Below are 22,909 nucleotides of genomic sequence, written 5' to 3'. Positions count from 1 at the left end.
AACGGTAAACACTGAATAACCACATGACCCAGGAATTCCACTCCTAGTGATACACCCAAAAGAGCTGAAAGCAAGTGTCTACACAAAAGCTTGTACACATATGGTCACAGTGGCACTATTCACATTAATCATGCGGTAGAAACAACTCAAATGTCCATCAGTGGATGAGTGGATTAATAAAATGTAAAATAGCCATTCAGTGGAATATCATTCAGCCACAAAAATGAACAAAGTACTGACACACACTACAACAGGGATGAACCCTGAAAACATGATGATGAAATAAGCCAGACACTAAAGGGCACATATTGTCTGATCCTATCTTTATGGAATATCCGGAATAGACAAATCCAAAGTGAGAGAAAACAGATTTTTCACTGTGGGGGCTGGGGGCGGAGGGAAGAATGGGGAGTGACTGCTTAATAAATACAGGGTCTCCTCTGGGGGCAGCGAAAATGTTCTGGAACTAAAGAGCAGAGGTGGTTGCACAACATTGTGATAAATGCCACTGAATTGTACACTTTAAAATGGTAAACTTTATGTTACGTGTGTATTACTACAGTTTAAAAATAATAGGAGAAGCAAGAGTAAAGAGAGCCCTCTAAGGGTCTCAAACATACTGCCCTGTGAGAGCCCCTTCACCTAAGCTCTACGGAGGTCATCCGCCAGCTTGTACTGAGCTAACCCTCCAGTGACTGACACCCAGGCAAAGTGGGAGATGGTCCAGGGGAGGGGGTGGGTCATCCAGGCAGCAGAGGCAGCTGTCCATCAACCACTGACAGCCCCTTCTCCTGGTCACCTGCACCTGCCTCACATACCAGGTGCCATTCTGTGTCCATTTGTGGGGAAGGTGGGAGCTCCGCCCATCCTTCCCCCACAAGAGGGCTGTGATCCACCTGGCACTCTGCTGCAGTAGACCCTGCGCTGACCAAGCTAAGCAGACAGTGCCCCTTTCTGCAGGGCTGAGACCGGCCCAGGGAGAGTCACCCACCAGTGCTGCGGAACTAGGGAGAATTCCATTTGGTTTTGTTCAACTCTCAAATGAGAAAATCTTCATCAACCCTTTCTAATACCATTGCTTAGGGGCCAGCATGGCTGCTTCTGCCACTGGTTCTACACATTTGCTGCAAACATCCGCAATTTTTCCATCCTGCTAACTTAAAAGCAAGAAGCCCTGTGTGCACAGTTTAACGACAGCAACCTACTGGGGCTAAAATTCAATCGCGTGACTTTATCAGAGGCTCAAGCTTGCAGTTCTCCCAGAAGGCTTGACCTGTGACCTCCCCTGTGGCCTCCACACTTGGCCTCGAGCCCTGCACACATTCTGAGAAAACTAGCTTGACATCTGAAAAATGAATGTAACGATGGTGCCCAAGCCAAAAGGAAATTGAATGACCAGTAGTAAGTCGATGTTAGACTTTGGTTTCCAGAGAGCATTTTCTACAGTATTTAACTTCCACTAATTTATGTAGGCCACATCTCTGTTCTCCTAATACGAGGAGTCCACAGTTCCAGTCAATAAGATTAGTCTTAATAAGAAAAAAACTTAGTCTCAATGGAACTGCCTAAGGCTACAGACATTAAAACAAAGCCCTACAACTCATAATTTGAAAAACAAGTTTCACCAGATGATCTATAAAGAAGGTACCAATGATCCAGTTAACTTTACTAAATCTACCTGTCTGCTTTTAGGAATATACACAGTAGAATATCTGGGATATTTAAACTTGTGGAAAAGGCGAGAGGATGGCAGAAATAGCTGTTATTTGATGGTGGATTTAACGATATATGTTTATTTTAATGACACTCACAAGGCATGACCACAATCACTTTACCATAAGCCACAGCCTGTGGGATCTGTTCCTTCCACTCCTGCCAAGGCGGGATCATGACCCATACAAGACCTAGGAGAGAAGGGGAGGCTCCCCTACTCCCACTCAGGATGTGGTTGTGTTATTTACTCATGGCTCATTTTGGTCTTGAATGTCCTCCTGAAACCTCCCAGGGATGTGCCGACCCACCGCCTCACGACCACACACGCCAGGTCCACAGGTCCACAGGCCTGAATGGGTATAATCACAGTTCATCCCCACTGTGGCTACATCTAAATAGTTTTGATTTGGCCCAAAATGTTTTTGCTTCTTTGTGGGTGATATAGTTTGGATATTTGTCCCTGCCCAAATCTCATACTGAAATGCAATCCCCAATGCTGGAAGTGGGGCCTGGTAGGAGGTGTCTGGATCATGGGGTGAATCTTTCATGAATGATGTGGGCCATCCCCTTGGTAGTAAGTGAGGTTTTACTTTGAGTGCACAAGAGAACTGGTTGTTTAAAAGTGTGTGGCGCTTCCCCCTCCAACCCCCACTCTCTCTCTTGCTCCCATTCTCACCATGTGAAGTGCTGGCTCCCACTCTGCCTTCTGTCACCATTGAAGGCTTCCTGAGGCCTCCCCAGAAGCAGATGTTAGTATTATGCTTCCTCTACAGCCTGCAGAACTGTCAGCCAATTAAACCTCTTTTCTTATAAATTACCCAGCCCCAGGTATTTCTTTAAAGCAGTGCAAGAATAGCCTAACACGGTGTGATAATGGCTACATGGGTTCAGACTGGCTCAACTTGGTTTTAGAGGATCCAAATTGGTTCAAACCAGTTATTCACTGAAAAACCTCTTCTTTTCTTTATTTATTTTATTGTGGTAAGTATACATAACATACAATTTACCATCTTAACCATTTTTAAGTGTACAATTCAGTGGCATTAAGTACATTCACACTGTTGAGCGACCATCACCACCGATGACCTCCAGAATGCTTCCATCTTCACAACTGAACCTCTGCACCCATTAAACACCAGCTCCCCACTCCCTGCTCTCTCCAGCCCCTGACCACCGCCACTCTACTTCCTGTTTCTATGACTCTGACTACTGTGGGTGCCTCAGAAGTAGAATCACACAGTACTTGTCCTTTTGTGACTGGCTCATTGCACTTAGCAGGACGTCTTCAAGGTTTGTCCATATTGCAGCCTGTGTCACAATTTTCTTCCTTTTTCAGGGTGAATACCATTGAAATCCTTTTCTTTTGTACTTTCTCGCTATGCTTGTGGCTCAGAAGAGCAAATACAAGGCCGCAATGCAGCAAGAGGAGCCCTGACCCACCACTGCTTTGCCTGTGGAGTGGGTTTTGAGGACTGGGGAATGGCTGGATGACCTCCCTCTCTCGAAGATGAACACAAGTATATCTAAAAGTGGGGCCCAATGAATGAATAATGAACATGCTATCTTTCACATAACTGGGGCCGCAATGAATGAATCAGAGGGGGCAGACAGTCTCCAGAAGCAGAATCAGAGGCCACCTGCAAGCACATGGGCCGAAGGACAGGGGCTAATGAGAAAGAGGGTAAATGACTGATGCCGCCACACACAGCAACAGCCTCCACCCTGACGTCACACCCGAGCAGCTCTTGGGGAGCAGCGTCTCCCTACCTGAAGTCCACCTCGGGCTCCCGAACCTGCACAGTCTGGCTGCACCCACAGCAGACCAGGCAGGCCACCCGTGGGACAGACCCAGAAGTGAGTCAGCACCCAGTGTCTCTTAAAAGGACCAGGACCAGATGGAGGCCTGGACCATGGGTAGCTGTTGACACTGGAGGAGGGGACAATAGCTTCTGTGAGCCTAGCCCAAACTTCCTTCAGCTCCAGCACTTTGGGTCTTGGCTTGGTCTCAGCTGGAGAGAGACCAACTTCTCTTCTGTGAAGGCTGACTGGGGAATTGGGGGCAGACGTGGGTGTGGCAAGTCCTGGAGGCCTCTATCAGCCCAGAGGGCTCCATTCCATTCCACATCTCCTTTCTCCACATGTCTGAGTTGTGCGTAGTTTTCTTGAGCTGCCCATGGTATTATCTGACATAGGATTAGGAGTTATTCTAATAGGTCAGCCCCCTATTACCATAGTCACATGTCTTCATAGTAACTGACTGGCACTGGTTGTGATCTGAATGCTTTGGGGTAAAACTCCCATGTCTGCCATCACCACGCTATCACATCTTGGGCAAGCACACCATGGGTGACATTACGCATCTCAGCGTGTTCAGCCATGCGATCTTTCTTCCTAAACAGATACTTCTATAACTTCTTGCACCGAGCCCTGCACTTCCTAGGGAATGTCACAGACTAACTGATTTTGCCAACTGGGTGTCTCTCAAGCCTCTGGTGCAAGAGAGGCATGATGCCAGGTGTCACGGAGGCCCAAGAACGGGAGGTACGGGGCCTCAAGAAGCAGACGCACGTGGACAGCCTGGGTCCCATACCCAATGCTCTCACTCCCCACAATCTGCCCTAGACACCCCACCGGCAGATGAGTACAATGCAAGTCAATATCTCACATACAAGCGTGCGTGCACACACACACACACACACACACTATGAGCACCTCGGCTTGCTGGCACCTCCTTGGGCCCTCCGTGCAAGTCTCTATAGACACTGTCCATCTACCATTCCCATGCCTCTGCCTTCCCAATCCACCAGAGCTGCTCAGGCTCAGGGGACCCCGCCAACAGGTGGCCACCGCCAACGGGTGCTTTCTTCCCCAGTAAGATATCTCCTAACTGCCCTGCTACATCTGGCCTTCCTAATGTCCCTCCCCTCAGCTCCCCAGTTCTCTCCTGGCTCCCCTCCATGCCCCCAGTGGAACCCTCTGTCTCTCTCTCATCACCATCCCCCAACCCATGTCCCTCGCCTTCCCTTTGTCTTGTTTCAGGCTCAAAGCCACATCACGATTCCAGCCCCTTCCATGCTGAGGACACCCACACACCTCTATGTTCATCCCCACCTTGTCGGCTGACTTCCCAAAGCCCCTCTCAAAGTCACAGAGCCTCTCCGCCTGTCCCTAACTCTGGAGCCTGTCCTGGAAGCCTGCCTGGAACTCGTCTGGAGCCTGGCCACACCTGGATGGGGGCGGGGAGAGTCTCATGTATCCGTCTCCCTCTAGAATGAGTTTCAAATGCAGGATAATGCCACTTTCACCTTTGCAGTCCCAGTGCCAACCACGTGGCAGGTGCCAATTTGCAAGGGCCATGCCAGAGATTTGCAGGGAGGGCCGGCCCCCCACATCAGGAGCAGCCCAGCAGGAGGAGCTGGCTTTGAAGAGTGTGAATTCGGGGTGGAAACTGGAAAAAAGGTGCCCAAGGTTAAGAGAGGCTTGGCTATCATTTGGAGTCGGTGAGAGACAGGTAGTCCCAGGCCCAGCTTGCCTACCTGGAAGAAGAGGTGTGTGGGCTTCTCAGCTAACTTCCTATTAGATATTCGGTGTGAGAAAATCAGGGCAGCCCTTGGGGCTGTGCAGCTGTTGCCCCATCTCCCAAATCAGTGACTCTGGAGTAGAAAGAGGCATGTGAGAACTTCTCCAGCAGGGCACAAGCCACATTCAGGAGGGCCCTGCAGAGGGGACAGCGTGGGGGCACCTTGGGAGGCCCTTACCCGACCTCACCCCCAGCAGCTCCAGTGTGGCCCTGACCAGTCCTGGTCCTCCTCTCATCCTATCTCACAAGCAGGGCTCACCACCTCCTTTGTGTCACTCCCGAGGACAGGTCCACTAGTGTCCTCACCCCTGCCCAGCATGGCCTGTACCCAAACTGGGTGCAGGGACTTGCCCACCCACCTCCCCCAGACCCGATGAGCTTCCCATGGACTGAAAACTCATCATCATCATCATCATCTGCACAAGCACTCCATGCCCCGCACCATCCATACAGACACTGACCCAGATCAACTCCCCTCCCCACCCATACAGACACTGACCAGATCAACTCCCCGCACCACCCATACAGACACTGACCAGATCAACTCCCCTCCCCACCCATACAGACACTGACCAGATCAACTCCCCGCACCACCCATACAGACACTGACCAGATCAACTTCCCTCCCAACCCATACAGACACTGACCCAGATCAACTCCCCTCCCCACCCATACAGACACTGACCAGATCAACTCCCCTCCCCACCCATACAGACACTGACCAGATCAACTCCCCGCACCACCCATACAGACACTGACCAGATCAACTCCCTGCACCACCCATACAGACACTGACCAGATCAACTCCCCGCATCACCCATACAGACACTGACCAGATCAACTCCCCTCCCCACCCATACAGACACTGACCAGATCAACTTCCCTCCCTACCCATACAGACACTGACCCAGATCAACTCCCCTCCCCACCCATACAGACACTGACCAGATCAACTCCCCGCACCACCCATACAGACACTGACCAGATCAACTCCCCTCCCCACCCATACAGACACTGACCGAGATCAACTCCCCGCACCACCCATACAGACACTGACCAGATCAACTCCCCTCCCCACCCATACAGACACTGACCAGATCAACTCCCCTCCCCACCCATACAGACACTGACCCAGATCAACTCCCCTCCCCACCCATACAGACACTGACCAGATCAACTCCCCTCCCCACCCATACAGACACTGACCCAGATCAACTCCCCTCCCCACAGCCCCACGAGATGGGGGGCTGCTGGCACAGGTGGCCCATCCAGAATGTTCCCGGGCCCCAAGCTGCTGCAGCCGGGTGGGATGCCGGCTTCCTGACTGTGGCTCCAGCATTCCTAACCACCGCACTCTGCTTTCTCCCCGAGGACTAGGGTGTGTTTGAGGGGAGAGGCACTTTTTAGATCACTATTAGTGGTAGTGGGAGAGCTTTACATGCTCTGCCCTGACAATGTTTTAGAACAATGTTTTAGAAACCCCGGCTTTACCTAGATTTTAAAAGTACCCGAAGCAATCCCAGATCCTGATAGATAAACTGCTCCCTGAAAATAACAGCCACCCATGGTGACATGTCATCAAAACATCAAAAGGCTTCATACAAATCAAAGAAGGCAGCTGTGCTGACTCAGCAAATGGGCCCTGAGCTTCTGAACATCAAGTTCAGAAGCTCATGCGGAGCCAGCCAGGATTGAAACGTCAATGCACACCCGTAGGATTTTATTTTTCAAGGCAATCCTGGGAATCAGTAGCAGGAGGTGCGGTGTCCACCCTGTCACAGTGCTGGGAGCAGAGCTGCACGGGAAGGGGTTCAGTACAGACGACAGGGGACACAGGAGCACCCCAAGAACCCTCCCGTGCAGCCTCCCCGTATGCAGAGCAGGAGTGCTAGGCCTGACGCCATGGGTGGGCGGGGCAAGGGACACTAGAATCTGAGGCATGGCTGCAGAAAGGAGGGAGCCGACTACTCCACTGAGGCCTGGGGGCTGGAGAGGACCTTCCCCTTCCCAGGCAGACCATGCCCCAATGCCCCCCATAACCCCCTGCCCTCAGCACCACCTACAGGCTCTTTCCCAAGTTCCATCCTACTGTGGGCCAGGTTTAGACAAACCCCAGACCACTCCCTCCTGGGCGCAGTGCAAGCCCCAAAGCCCCTCTGTGCAGGACCACCCCATCTGCACACCTGCTGCCCCACCACACGCTGATGGAGGGGGGGCGCCTGGGTGCCAACAACCCCATGCCACTCTTGTCTCAGTCCTCTTCTGTAAAGCAGATACTGACACTCACTTCATATGCTGCCCAGCGGGGCATGTGTGTGAGGCCGTGGCTCAGAACACACACGGTACCACTGCCTCCCACCTGGGGGACACACCCAGTTACCTGTGCTTTTAGCACCTTCTCTCCCTTGGCACCAGACTCCTATCACACTCTCAGAAGGTTCTTCAAAAAGCAAGCCTCTACTGAATGCCAAGTCACGGCCAAAGCATCTCTACAATGAGCAATGATGCACAATTCTGCATTCGATGTGGCCTCGGGGCCCTCGACCATGCTTCCCTTTAACTTGTATTAAGTTGGCTACCATGTATTGATTTTTCTTCTTTTTTCTATTGGCAGAAGGCTCTTTCTAGAAAGCACCAGCTGGGTCAGGGATAAACAGAAATCATGAAAACCCCAAATAATCAAAACGCATATTTGGTTTGCCATTCCAAGGTGTGGAGCTATTCTACACTTGCTGAGTAAATCAAATACCTCAACTCGGTAGCCATGGAGGTCCTGGACAAGGAATGCCTGCAGCTCCAGAAATCTCCAAGGTCCAAAGGAGTAAGTCTCTACAGGGAGAATTTCAGGCAGGGCTGACCTTTTCAGTGTATCTCCTGATAGACGTCACAAGGTAACAGGTGGGATGGGGCTCCAAAACAATCCGTCCAGCCCTCGCCAAACCCTTTATGTTCCACAGGCCACCCAGAGGCATCCAGAGAACATGCCATCCAGGGCCACCCCACAGACCCACAGAACTAGGATCTTTGGTGCTGGACAAACGCTCTTATGGTGCCCCCCAGGAGTGTGGGTGAGTTGCCCCAGGGAAAGCACTGATGAGCAAACTACTCTCTTCAAGGGAAGGCACCAAGGACGTGCCAGGTCCACAGGCTCATCCCTGGAGCTGTGAGACTGAGCCAGGTACCAGTGCCCAGCTGGGGTCCTCCCTCCACTCACGCTTCACTGCCTGATAGTAGAGGGCCACATGGGTAGGTGTAGTAATACTAATTCCATCAGGTCACACAATACGAGCCTTGCTGGACCCAACTCATGTATTCCTTAATCACTGCATGAAAAAAAAAATCAATACGTTATGTCAACAAAGCTCAAAAAAATTAAGAAAAATGCCACATGAACAATCTTTACTTGACTTGTTTGATCTGTGGCCTGAGCCCTGGTGAACTTAGGACACGTTAGCACTGAGATGGGGACATTTTACAGACCGGAGGCTTCCGTATCTACTGGTCACCTCACTGGCACCGTATCCCACTCACTGAGAACAACAGGGCACGCCAAGCCTTTCAACAGCAAGGAAACAGACAACAGAGGAGAAGAGACCATCACTCTCCAGGAGGAACACTGCACAGTTCCCCCACACTGACTCACCCTCCAGCAGGCAGGCTCAAACGCGGACTGAACAGAACTGGACGCTTTCTCTTCTCAGGTTCTTCAAGGGCTGTGTTATGCACTGTTCAGAGGCACGGGTTTTGGCATAACACAGTCCACAGTCTATTCACAGGTGAGCTACTTAACTGTGCCATCTGCAACACGGGACTAACCCTAGCTCCCTCTCTCTGGGTTGCTCTAGGATTTACTGCGATCATATTCCTAACACCCCTAACATGGTGCTGGCAGTCACCGCCAACACTGCTGCCACCTCCACCGGCACCCACGGACTTTACACAAACCACAAAATAAGAAAGGTTAAATCTGCAGAAGCCAAGGGTCCTGATGATAACACAATGACAACCTTTCCATCATCACCATTTGGGGTTGCTGAATCATCTTGGAACTGAAGCATACAGGGAGAGGCCTTGGGAGTTCATGTGTACGGGTCCTTTACTCCCCAGGGTGTAAAGCTTGGGTCTGTATTCTCCCACAGACCCTGCATGGAGGGAAAAGGGCTTGCTGATACACCATGTTTGGGAAGCACTGGCCAGGCTGGCTGGTGTCTCCGCTATAGCGAACGTGGGACTTTATGCTACTTGTGTGTGAGAAATCAGTAAACCCCCAAGAAGGGAAAAACTTTGCAGCAAAGTTTCCCAAAGTCATTTGCCAACCAAATACAACCAATTCTCATTCACATAGTTATGTTCTGTAAAGCTGCCCTGAGCACTGAGTTGATGAATACTGAATACATTGCTCCTAGGGGCGATACAGGGTTAGGTTCCTATGAGCCTCGGGACACATTTTTGTCAATGAATCAACACAGAACCTTGTTTTATGTGTGTTTCTGTTTATACGCACCTTGTTTAATATAGATTTCTTATAAATAATTAATTATATGCAATATTTCTTTAACATAAAACACTAGCTGAGAAGAGTTTAACATTTCCCTGACCCTAGATCACAAGACAGTAAAGTTCTTGGGTTTTCTACCTGTCCACTATGTGTTTTTTAATCAGTTATTGTCCCATGAATCTGCAAATTTAGCCATTCCTCCACCTTTTCCTTAACTTCATCATACGCTACAGAAGTTTACTTTAGCACCTCCCAGAGTGGCAGCATAGACGAGTCAGCACTGTCGCTCAGCCCTGAAGGAAGCTTCTCTAGCACATGTAAGGCACATGGCAGCCATTCTGTGCTTAGGATCACTAGGCTTCAGCACCACACTTGAGGGCCATTTTATCACCAACACACACACACACACACACATATCAACAAAAATGCAAAGAACATTAAATAGATTGTGAAAAGAACAGCTGTTTACAGTATGAGAGCTGAAACAAGAAGGCAAAGCCTTGTTCAACCTCAGCTGGGAACGTGAGAGTTGGGTGACTCAAATTCTTCCCCTCTCTGTACCTCCACAAATGACTGGGAAAGTGCTACGAGTATTGATTTCAGGGTTACAAATCAATTTTAGCAAGTTAACAAAGTTGCAAATATCAAATCCATGAATAGTAAGGATCAAATGGTACTTTGTTTACACAACACCTCTAAGAGCGTGTTTTGGGAAATCCTGACCTAGGTTTGTCTCTTTGATTTGAAAACTCTACAGTGGAATTCTACAATGCCACATGGCAAAAGATTTTTTTGCCTGTATTTTCCAAATTTTCCTCAGTAAACTTGCAGTGCTTTGAAATAACCTTTTTTTATTTTACTAAAATAATTCAAGTGTAGATCTCTGTTCCCCAACCTGTCTTCCTACAATTTTAGAAACTCTATCACCTTTGTGCCTCTCATATCCCAGCCCCCGGGCAGACCTCTTGGTCTCAGCAGAGTGGCACAGGTGGGAGGGCTCCCTGCAAACTGGAGCCTTTTCAAAATGCATGGCATCCTACAGCTCAGGAGGGCTCCAAAGGCCACACAACCTACTTCTTAGTACAGGCACAACTCATTTTTCTTTTCTTTTTTTTTTGGAGGTGGGAGTCTCACTTTGTTGCCAACGTTGGAGTGCAGTGGTGCTATCTCGGCTCACTGCAGCTTCTGCCTCCCAGGCTCAAGCGATTCTCCTGCCTCAGCCTCCTGAGTAGCTGGGATTACTGGTGCACACTACCATGCCCATCTAATTTTTATATTTTTAGCAGAGACAGGGTTTCACCATGTTGGTCAGGCTGGTCTCGAACTCCTGACCTCAGGTGATTTGCCCACCTTGGCCTCCCAAAGTGCTGGGATTACAAGTGTGAGCCACTGCACCCAGCCGGCAACTCATTTTTCGTATCGACCAGACCAAAGCAATGTCCTCTGTGAATACATCTACCCAGACAGGGAAGAAGGAAACATCCAATTAAATCCCTCTGTACCGAAAGGAGGTGGAGGGGTCACAGATGAGTCATTAACATCTTAAAAATGCTGCAGAGATGGTGAAAATAATATAACCAAAATTCAAAAGAAAATGTACTAAAGATGAGGACATACGCAACAGGAAGTCACACCTACAGTGTAGAGAGTGCTTCTATGAGATGGAAATGCATCCAAACCCCAAAAGATAAAGGGCATGCATCCAACATCCACAGAAGAAGGGAAACAATTAGGCAAGGTCATCGAGGGGAAATGGTCAACGTTGATGTACGGCATGGGGATTTATCCTCAGGTAATAAACCAAAGAAGGAAAACATGGTTTGTACAAAGATGTCTGTGGCAGCCTTACACCTAAGAGAAAATGCCACTCACAATCTGCATGCTCAATGGTAGAGTGTGTACAGAGAAATATGTTATACAGCACATCATCGCCCAAATGGATCATGGAAAGGTCACTACAAATAATCATGAAAATTATATGGTGACATGGAGAAACATTTATCATACATCAGATTTTAAAAACTGTATGACAAAAATACATCTGGGTTATGATGACAGCTACGTACATCATTTATGCTCAATGCTATGGTCTGAAAAGGCACACTGATGAAATAGCTCATCCGTTAGGGTAGTAGGGACCATGGAGAATACATTTTTCATCTTCCCATTTTTTCTAACTCTATTTTACTATTGCCATTCGTGCAATGACTAAATGCTATTCAGTCCTCTTCAAAATATCCAGGACACACTTTTTCAAGCTGTAAAATGAGTAGAAGAGAGGGGAGGGTTGCTACACAATTTCCTCCAAGTGAGTCTCCTACAGCATCACAGCTGGAATGTGGCATCTTGTTGAAATGCAGATTTCAGATTCAGCAATGTGGGGGCGGGGCTCCCCAGTAATGCCAATGCTGCTGGGTTAGGGTTAAAAACAGGAGTCTACAGCATCTAAGTGACCAATATTGCCCATTTCTCCCTTCAGATTTTTTTTTTACTGCAGCCTCAACCATAGGGATCACTACACTATGTGGACAGCACTGGGATCAGAGAGGTGAGCATGGGACACATGGCACCCTGTGCACCTGCTTGAGGCCAGGCCTTTGTTGGCTCCTGGCACGGCCTGGCTGTCCCCCAGGGGAGGAAGGGGATTGTTCTTAGGAAAGCAGGTTGTTATTTCAAGCAAGGCAGCACCAAATCTCCCAGTGCACATCCTTCATAAAAAATCTTGCTTTCAAGATGAATTCTACGGCTCTTTCTGGTCAGGTTTCAAAGAGGTCCTCATCTGGAATGGGGTACTCAAATCTAAGAATGTGGAGACCCTGCCCACGTGCAGCGGGCCTGGTAGAGTCTTCAGAAAGAGTAGTCAGGGCCCCTGGCACCAGGGTACTTGTCAGCCTGGAACTCTGGAACTAGCAGGTGTTCCCCTTGACAGAATTAATTTGTGAACTGATAGGAAAGAAAGAAAGAAAGAGAGAGAGAGAGAGAGAGAGAGAGAGGAGGGAGGGAGGGAGGGAGAGAAGGAGGGAGGGAGGGAGGGAGGGAGGGAGGGAGGGAGGAAGGGAGGAAGGGAGGAAAGGAGGAAAGGACAGAAAGGAGGGAGGGAGGGAAAAACAAAACAAAACAAAAGCTATACAATCATTAACCAGTTTAAATGAACTTTTCCAGTGTCTCAGACAAGAGCATGTCCTTCAAGGACACATTCTCCTTAGGGGGAGAAGTGACATACTTTTTCATTCAATGCCTCTTCTGGGAAGAACAGACATCCTCTTGATCCTCCACAATGGCTGGGGACTTCCCCTACCTCCACCTGCCCTTTTAAACAGCTACTATCACCCATCCATCCATTCATTCCCACTCATTTACCTCCCAGCTCTCCAATCGCAAGATCTCTGTGTTTTTACCCAAATTACCATCTGGTTAGCATGAAGCACAAAACCAGAAAATATCAGGTCTTGCTTACTCCCCACCACGCTCTAAAGATAATCTTCTTTGACAAGAACTTGGCTAGCGATGCCATTTGTCACAATAAGACGCAGCATGTCACACGCTCTGCACAGCCCACGTCAATCCCTGAGGTGCCTTCACCACTGTTGTGGGACAAGCCCAGGCCCTGCTAAAGACCAAAGAAACACTTTGCTTTGGCCTAAAGCCCAGACCCAGGGTCCAGAGCCTCCTGGCCTTAGGGGTGAACTCTCCCAACACCCACTAGTACCATGGGAGCTCCTATGCATCCCACAGCCCCCTGTAAACACGGAATTGCTGTGAATGACAGGAACACCCCCAAAGTGAAGTCAACTGACACTTAACGTTCTTTAGAGAGAATACAAGACATTAAAATACAAGTGCTGAAAATCCAGGAGTCAATTAAAATATAAGTGCTGAAAATCCAATGATTTCCATTCCAAACCCAAGCTCTCAGTACACACACACACACACACACACACACACACACACACACACACACTCAAATTCATGAACTCTTCTCGGAAAAAAATATTTAACAGTTAAGGCTGTAAAAAAATATGACAGAAGTCCACATAATTGGCCAAATAGAAGTTCCTTCACACAAGTCCAATAATCACATCTTCTTTATATACTCACAGTGAGGCTTTTTTTGGAAGGTGGCTTTTCAAATGTGTTTATTAGAATGCACGCTGACTTTGCTATAATTAAAATACAGTTATGCTGACATCCACTGCCCTCATTAGCATGCGTTTCTTCCCCGAGGTTTTGTCAAACCTTCAAAAAATCCTTTTCCAAATAGGTATTCACAGCTGATTGCCCATCAGGCCAAGGCCCCCGGGCTTTCAGAGACCCGTCCATTGTGAAATGCACTCTGGCCCCGACCCCAGCCACCAGGCCACCCAACACTGGCCGCAGCAGTGGGTGAGCACCAGCACCCCCACGTCTTTGCCACTGCCCTGCTGGTCTGAGTACACCCCTGAGGATTGAGGGGCTCTCCCACACATACTGCCCCACCATGAGCAGACCAGGGCAGTGGGCAAGAAATCGAACCTCTCTTCTAGGGTGGGAGGAGGGGTGTCTTCTGCGAGACACGAGTTGCCACTCAGCCCTCAACCGGCTTTAGTCCTGAGTCTGAGCGGTGAGCTTAAGAGTGGCCGGAGCATCCACGCAACATGTCTCCCAACTGGACCAATGAAGAGCTCAGCCACCATTAGAACTGTGAGGCACCCAGCACCCCCCACCGCCTCGCTTCAGCATCTGCAAGGCCTGTACCCTGAGGTCCCTTGCTCTCGGGCCCCTCTGCTCCCTTCCCCAGGACAGCCAGGGTCCTACCTGCTCGTGGGGCCACTTCAGCCTCTCTTCTGGGGTCCTGGTCTTGGGCTTGAAGCCTCTCTGGGGGTCTCCGGGGTGCTTGGCCTCGGGAAGGAGGTTCAGCGACTTGGGCCTCGCCTCGTGCCTGCTGGGGCTGCAGCTGGCCTTGATGGGTGGGCAGGCCTCTACAGAGTCCTCAGGCCCTGGCTCAGGCCCATGCTCGGGGCTGGCCTCACTGGCGCTGGTGATGCTGGTCATGCTCAGACTCATCTTGATCTCTGCCACGATCTGGTCAATGTCCTCCTCCTGGTCCTCCAGGTCCCCATCCCCACGCCTCAGGCGGTAGGGGGAGGCGCCGGTGTTCCCGTTGGCCTCCTCGGGGTAGTAGTCCTGGTAGCCCTCTTTGCTGGCACAGTAGTGACCATCTTCTTCCTGGTCATGGGCCTCAAGGACGGAGGGCTCATCCTCCGGAATGGGCAGTTGGCCGTCTGGGTAGTCCTGGCTGCCTTCAGCCTCGTGGCCGTGGGGGTGCGGGCCCGCCGAGTCCGTCCACTCCTCCACCGCCTCCTGGCACTCATCAGTGTCCACAGGGTGTGCACTGTGGGCCAGGTACTCCTCCCCGTTGCAGTCCATGCCCTCTAGGTAGCTGTCGTCCTCAGGGCAGTAGCGGATGTAGTAGGTGATGCCCTCCTCCTCCTCAGGGAGGCCCTCGTCATAGTCCTCCTCCTCAGAGGTGTTGTTCACGTAGTCAGAGCTGGAGTCCCCATCGGGGCTGTGGTTGTGGCACTCCTGTTCCTCTGGCGCGGGGCTCTCTGGCCGCAGGGCAGCCAGCTCCAGGCCCTCGGGCACATAGCCCTCCAAGGGCAGCTCCATGTCCTCGCTCTCGGGCTCCTGGCTGTGAGGGACAGGACCTGGTCTCACCCTATGGTCCAACATGCCGCTCCCCACGCTCTCAAGCTTCCGGTGGGCCATGGCAGTCGTTCACACAGCCATCATCACCCGGAGGCAGCCACTGTGGGGAGGAACATTGGGAAGGACAGAGTCAAAACCCCACAAAGCCCAGCCATGTGTGGGGCCACTTCACCACAGCACCTCCCACCACGTCCTCCCGCAGCCATGTGAGGGCACATCTGTTCAAACAGTGCGCCATCCCCACCCCCGCTAACTCATCATCAGAACAACACGCATCCACACCAAGGAGAACGAGGGCACACAGAGCTCCGGGAAAAGCAGTCAAGGGAGGCACCGGCAACTCACGAGGACACACGCCTCTCCCCAGGAACCTACCGGCTCATTCCTGACTTCTCACTCAGTTTGGGTAGCCCAGGTGACCAAGACAAATGGTCAGAAGATCAGGTTGTTTGCTCTCACGAAGAAAATGAGCAGCTTTCATTAAGAAGACATAATGAGGACCAATGAGGAGGGACAATAACTCTTCCCAATCTAAATCCATGACCCCTCAAAGACTATCTTGGGTACCTTCCCCTTCAGGCTTATCCCATCCTCTCCCTCCTCTTCCCCCTCAAACTGAACAATGTTCACCGAGGAACTGGATGCGCAGGGACCATCCAGGCTGAGCAATGTGCAGAAAAGCTCTACACAAGTCCCCAGCGTGGCAGGCTGGAGGGCTCAGCAGAGGGGACAGCACTGCTCGGCCATGGGGAGAAGAGGACAAAGGGTGCAGCCGCAGCCTGCAGGTATCGTGGGGTGACAGGGCAGCTGCAGAGACCTGGCAGGCCAAACTGGGAGAGGGCCTGGACCCAGTGCCCAGGACTCTGCACTTTATCCCCCAAACCACACGGCTATGGCCTTAATATGTCCCCCAAAGTTCATGCGTTGGAGACTTAATCCCTAATGCAACAGTGTTGAGAGGTGGGACCTTTGAAAGGTGATTAGGTCATGAGGGCTGTGCTCTCATGAATGGATTAATGTCTTTATCTTGGGAGGAAGTTCTTTATTGTGAGAGTGGGTTTGTTATAAAAGTGAGTTTGGCTCTCTCTTGCTCTCTTTCTCATTCTCCCTCACCTTCTCACCTCTGCCTTGGGATGACATAGCAAGAAGGCCCTTACCAGATGCTGGCACCTTGACCTTGGACTTCCCAGCCTCCAGAACTGTGAGAAACAAATCTCCATTCTTTATAATCAACCAGTCTTAGGTATTCTGTTATAGCAACAGAAAACAGACTAAGACATGTGCACAGTCACTGAGCCATTTTCAACATTTTTTCTTTTAGCCCTGTCTCTCTGGGCCTGGCGTGGGGACAGAGGCTAGAGGCTAGAGGCAGGGAGACCAGTGAAAAGGCTATTCTCTCTTCTGGGGGAAAGCAAGGGGCTAGCATCAGGAAAGTGGCACAGAGGACGTCCAAAAGTTTGCTTAACGTTCTACTTCTTTTTTTTTTTTTTGAGATGGAGTCTCGCTCTGTCGCCCAGGATGGAGTGCAGTGGCACCATCTCAGCTCACTGCAAGTTCCACCTCCTGGGTTCACACCATTCTCCTGCCTCAGCCTCCCGAGTAGCTGGGACTACAGGTGTCCCCCACCATGCCGAGCTAATTTTTCGTATTTTTAGTAGAGACGGGGTTTCACCGTGTTAGCTAGGATGGTCACGATCTCCTGACCTCGTGATCCGCCCACCTCGGCCTCTAAAAGTGCTGGGATTACAGGGGTGAGCCGCCACGCCCAGCAACGTTCTACTTCTTCAGCTAATTGCTTCCCCAAATGTTTGTCATATTCTTTAAACTGTACTCTTACATTACACATGCCTTTTTGCTTGCATGATAGTTCAATTATTTAAAAAAACATATTCCAGTAGTCCAGTTAAGAGCTTGCACACTTGAAAATGCTTAAAATGCTAAATTTTTTATGTCTATTTTACTGCAATTTTTAAAAAGAAAAAAAAGGAGAGCTTAAACTAAAACAGTAGAGAGGACAGTGGAGAAGTGGCTCAGTGAGGACCTTAGGTGGCAGAAGCAAAGGGATCTGGGCTCAGATGGGAGCAGGAAGTGAAGATGAAAGAGGAGCTATCAGTGACCCTCAGCAGTCACTGCCCGGGCTCTCATCTTGCCTTCCTGTACCTCCTCTTCCCCTCTTGTCTCTTTAGTTTAGGCCACAAACTCAAGGCCTTCCATATTGTGTATCCCCCCAGAGCTCCAAACACAGCACCTTGTTTGTAGTGGTGCCCAAAACACATCTTGTTATGAGACTGAGTGTACCAGATGGTCACGGTTACAGCAGTATGAATATTCCCAAAAGAACGAAGAAGGAGATAATTATTTCATCCAGTCCAGACACTCAGAGTGTGGGCACAATTACTGATGGAGCCACATGCTTCCAACGTGTGAATTCACTCCAAGGACACTTGACATCTAAAGAAGCAATGTTTACTCCGCCACCTGCACAGGCTTGTCCATGGCCGTGTTTCAGGAGCATCACTGGTATGCGGAGCAATTCACAGCACTCCCCCTAGAGTGGCCCACAGACAGCAAAGATGTCCCACACCAGGAAAATTGTCACTGAGATGGACCCTGCAGGGCCCGTCACCCCATTCGCAAACCCTGAAACTGGCAGGACAATTCGAAAGAGCTGTTCCCTAGAAGAGAACAAGGGGCCAGCACTCACTAAGACATCTGCAACCCAGATGTGTCAGAGGACACATCAAGAACACTGAGCTGCCTCAAAGACCACATATAACTTGTCACCAGATTTCTTATCTTCACAGAGGACAGCCAGCCACAAGAGAGAGGCTGCAGGAGTGATGTCAGGGACTTAGCAACCACAACTCTCAGACACAATCTCCAGTAACTACATTCCTCAAAACGGTCTCTCAGAAGCATGTGCTGAATGCAGCTGCTAACATGCAACCAGACGTCCATGTCTTGACGTCAGGACGGCAAAGGGCAGATGGTACATCACTGGCACATGAGCACACAGCTCCCATTCCTTGCATAGCGGTGCCATCTCTACAGCATCCCTGTTTCTCGCCAGGCTCTGACATCAAGCTGTGCACGTTGAAGGTATGCACATCCTTGTTAAGAGAACAAACTAAAGTACACAGTACTCTTGCTATCTTAACTTCAAAATCTCTGTCATTCGGGGGGATAAAATCTGTAATATGCACATATAAATATGTATACCAACACTAAATAAAATATTCTCTAGGCCAATATAGGACATAAGGACTAAAATACACATTACAGTAACATGGAACAGTCCAGATCCTATTAAAATGTTATTCAAGTTTTCAAAAATGAAAACACTGAGGACATTGTAGGAGAACTACAATAGAACCAGGAGTTTATTTTCCACTGGTGTTTCCTATTAGCTCTCCAAGCCTTCAGATGATTTCAGAAAAATTTATTCCAGATGTATAACACTACGACAACAATATAATTTGGACTATAATTACTCAATTCATAACTTACCACTGCTTCCTATACTTTTTGCATTTCTTTCTCTTGAACTATTTAGTGGGATTTCATTTTTATTTTGTAAAAATAATTGTTAGAGTCATTTTGTTTACTTAGGAGGTAACTCTTTTGTATCTATAAAATGGCTCTGATCTCACATAGAATGATACCTTTGCTAGGTATAAGATTATTGTATTGCATCCTTTTCACAATAATTTGCTAACACTGTTCCACTATCTTCTAGCTTACAGTCTCGCAGATGTGCATTTTAATACTATTCAGATTCTTTTTACCTTGGTACAAAAATCTATTCCTTCCGTCTGGAAGCTGATACAATTTCCTCTCCACTCTTAGAGTTCAGAAATTCCAGCAAACTATGTCTAGATAAGGGTCTTTTTTAATTTTATGAGGGTCTCATTAATTTTATGTGAGATTCATTTGGTGAGCCCTTTCCGAATCAAGTCCCACATCTTACTTTAGTTACAGGAAGATTCTTGCTATTTCTTTTTTATTTCTCTCCCTAATGGCCTTTTTCTCTTTCTGGAATATCTCTGGAATTTGCCCTCCAAATCACTGAACTTTACACTCATAGCACCCATTTCACATTTTTTTCTGTGTGGTATAAATTAGTTCCTCCATTTGACCTTCCAAAACACTAACTCACTTTTCAGCAAGATATAGCATGTGACCTGTCTTTGCTCTTGCTGGCAACAAAGGGCCCCTGAGACACCAGTGCATGTCTTTCAGCGACTGGTGGATGGCTGGGCAGTGTAAGATACAGTGGGAGAGGATTTTATGGTGAGCTGGAGGCAGTCAGGGTGGTCATCTGGGACTTCACTGTTGAGATGTGAAGAGGTGCCTGTATTTTTTAGGTATGACAGAGATAGGCTGTCCTCAGCCAGATCTGCTTGCTTCCAGGGAAAATGTCCACCCTTCCTAGAGGCACAGGAATAAGGTGCTCCCCTGAAACTCCCTGAGTCTGTGTGCTGCACCTGTCCCTAGCTCCAGAAGTTCCAGACTTTTCATGGGAGGGGTCAAACCTCTTCCCTTGGAGCAAGCAAATCCAGTCACTGTCTAGAATCCTTTATTTTTGACACTGAAATATTTAACCCATCAGAAAGTGTAAACACACAAGGTAGGGAGCAGCTTCATGTTCTCCACGATGGTTACCCCAGTGATTTTCAAGTTTTGTTACCCATTGAAAACCCTGATGCCCAGGTCACACCACATACCAATGAACCTAGAATGTCTCAGATAGGAACTAGGCATCAGTATTCATAAAAGTTTCCCAGGTGATTCCAATATACAGCAAAGTGTGGGCACCACAGCTTTACTCAGGTAACCCAATACCCTTTACTAAATAGACTATTCTGTTTCTCATGTTTTACAGTGACCAACCATCTCAACTTTAACACTCAAAGTCTCATGTCCCAGGAAACCCTCAGTTCCACAGGAACTGGGATGGCTGGTCACCCTGCGTGTCATACACTAAATTCTTTTTTTTTTTTTTTGAGACTGAGTCTTGCTCTGTTGCCAGGCCGGAGTGCAGTGGTGTGATCTCGGCTCACTGAAACCTCCACCTCCCAGGTTCAAGTGATTCTCCTGCCTCAGCCTCCCGAGTAGCTAGGACTACAGGTAGGTGCGCACCACCACGCCCAGCTAATTTTTGTATTTTTTTTTTAGTAGAGATGTGGTTTCACCATGTTGGCCAGGATGGTCTCGATCTCTTGACCTCATGATTCACCTGCCTCAGCCTCCCAAAGTGCTGGGATTACAGGTGTGAGCCACCCCGCCCAGCCATCATACACTAAATTCTTACATAAACTTAGATCTGTCCCTGGACTTTCTAGTCTACATCATTTCTATCTGCCCAGCAACAGTACCATGCCATTTTCATTATTATGAATTTAGAGCATATTTTAATACGACATAAGGCAAGTTCTCTCTCATTATTCTCATTTTGTCATCTTCCCCTGCTATTTTCACATTTATTCTCCCAAAAGAACTTAAGAGTTAGTGGTTCCAAGTATCCCCAATATTCCACTGAAATTTTGGCTGGAGTAACTTTAAGTTATAAATTACTTTAGGGAATTTTTTTTTCTTTTGAGACAAGGTCTCGCTCTGTCGCCCAGGCTAAAGTGCAGTAGCACGATCCCAGCTCACGGCAGTCTCTGCCTCCTGGGTTAAAGTGATTCTTGTGCCTCAGCCTCCTGAGTGGCTGGGATTACAGGCATGTGTCATCACCCTCCGGCTAATTTTTGTATTTTTTGTAGAGATGAAGTTTTGCCATGTTGGCCGGGTTGGTGTCCAACTCCTGCCTCAAGTGATCAGCCACCTCGGTTTCCCAAAGTGCTGGGATTACAAGAGTGAGCCACCGTGCCCCGGCCTCAGAAATTATTCATACTTACAATACTGAGTCTTTTTACCCAATTTCACCCAAAAAAATCTTCCTATTTATTGAAGTCTTAAATGTCTCTCAACGGCTTTGTAATTTTCTTTATAGCTGTAGACATCTCATATTAAGTTTTTTCTTAAATATAATATTTCTGTGGCTGTTGCGAATAGATCTCTTCCTTATATATTTACCTGGTTATTGTTGGCATACAGAAAAAAAATGATATTGATTTTGTAAAAATAGATTTTACTAAGCTATTTTTAAATCCTAATAGTTTTTAGTTGATAATGTTTTTCTAGGTAAATGATGTCACTTTCAGAAGTCACCATTTTGCTTCCCCTTTCCGGCATGTGGTCATCTTGTCTAACTACCCTGCCCTGCACTTCCCTGAGGAGTTAACAATGGCACTAACAGGCACCCTTGACTTATTCCTCATTGCAATGAAAATGCTTTCACTTTACGATGGCTGAACCAGGGGGAGATCAGGGAGGCCCCAAAAACCTAAGCAATCAAAAATAAATAATATTTTAATGCAATGCTTTAGAAATCAAAACTAAGGCAAAATAAATCCATGATGAACAAAATATCAAAATTGTAAATGAAGATAGGATTGGTATTCCTGATTTTTCCTGTTGCCTCAGGCTGCAATATGGCTTGGCTGTGGACTGGTAATGATCCCGTTTTTCACCATGACTACAATGCTAGCGCTGGCTAATGGCAGCTCTTTTCCTGAGTTTGACACCACAGACATTCTGATCCAGCTCTCTTTCCCATGAGTGCAAAGGGTAAGGGACCCACAGCAGCTACCCAGAAGGCAGCCACGTCTTCAAAGACTCCACAGAATTACACGGAACCTACTGGGGCACTTTTGGTATAAGACAAAGAGCCCGCCTGTTAAAGATGAAGACTGAAGGTCCTTGTTTCAATTCAGACCTCTGTTTACTGTGAGGCCTGGGGCAAGATATTTAATGGAGAGATGGCCTTCCCCTCCTTAGGAAACTGAAAATGACAGTATGTGCCTGCAGGGCTTGAAGCGAGTTAAAGAAGAGAGCAACCAGTGCAGGCCTGAACTCCATAAACACTACATAAAGGGAGTTAAGGAAAATGTCAATGAAATGGTCCAGGAGAGATGCCTGATGAGGTGAATGTCTTAGATGGGAACGGGGAACTCTGCTGACACAGGTGGCTGGGAGTGGCTGTGGCCAGATGACACTGTCCCTGGCTATGTATGCAAATTGCATCCCTGCAGTGGGATATGGGTGCATCTTGGAGGGACTGAGGAAAGCAGGGAGAGGTCCTTGTGAAAAGCCAAGAGTCACTCCTCCAATGCAGTGATTCGCTCACTTTGGTGGGCACAAGGCCCACCTGGAGAGTGTGCAGGTTCATGGCCCAAGATTCCAAGGTTGTGGGCCAAAGGCCAGGTCTAGAGCTGCAGGTGGTTCTCATGTTGGAGGTCCAAAGACTGCACTTGAAAACTCTGCCCTAAGTAGATGCTTGCAGGTCTCTGATGACGGCCCAGGGAATGGATCTGACCTCCTTGTCAACA

General features: G+C 48.6%; 1 protein-coding gene across 36 annotated transcripts in view, besides 2 other annotated features; it reads right to left on the bottom strand.

The window, feature by feature from the left end:
• Window positions 1-22,909, bottom strand: part of APBA2 (amyloid beta precursor protein binding family A member 2) — a 232,342-nt gene that overhangs the window by 48,895 nt on the left and 160,538 nt on the right. For all 36 annotated transcript variants that reach the window (NM_001379685.1, NM_001353790.2, XM_047432424.1 and 33 more), the window contains one exon: window positions 14,586-15,576. In NM_001379685.1, the coding sequence (NP_001366614.1) occupies window positions 14,586-15,536 (951 nt within the window). In that variant the 5' untranslated portion in view covers window positions 15,537-15,576. The remainder of the gene's footprint in view (window positions 1-14,585; window positions 15,577-22,909) is intronic.
• Window positions 4,454-4,966: an enhancer, noted in NCBI's record as "H3K4me1 hESC enhancer chr15:29356658-29357170 (GRCh37/hg19 assembly coordinates)". NCBI's record gives its function as "activates a minimal SCP1, AML or CMV promoter by ChIP-STARR-seq in primed H9 embryonic stem cells {active_cell/tissue: H9 hESC(primed)}" and the evidence as "EXISTENCE:reporter gene assay evidence [ECO:0000049][PMID:30033119]".
• Window positions 4,967-5,478: an enhancer, noted in NCBI's record as "H3K4me1 hESC enhancer chr15:29356146-29356657 (GRCh37/hg19 assembly coordinates)". NCBI's record gives its function as "activates a minimal SCP1, AML or CMV promoter by ChIP-STARR-seq in primed H9 embryonic stem cells {active_cell/tissue: H9 hESC(primed)}" and the evidence as "EXISTENCE:reporter gene assay evidence [ECO:0000049][PMID:30033119]".

This window comes from Homo sapiens, chromosome 15 (assembly GCF_000001405.40).
Source record: "Homo sapiens chromosome 15, GRCh38.p14 Primary Assembly".
Classification (NCBI taxonomy): domain Eukaryota; kingdom Metazoa; phylum Chordata; class Mammalia; order Primates; family Hominidae; genus Homo; species Homo sapiens.
Note: the sequence above shows the minus strand (reverse complement) of the source record. Positions and strands in the feature narration are given on the sequence as shown.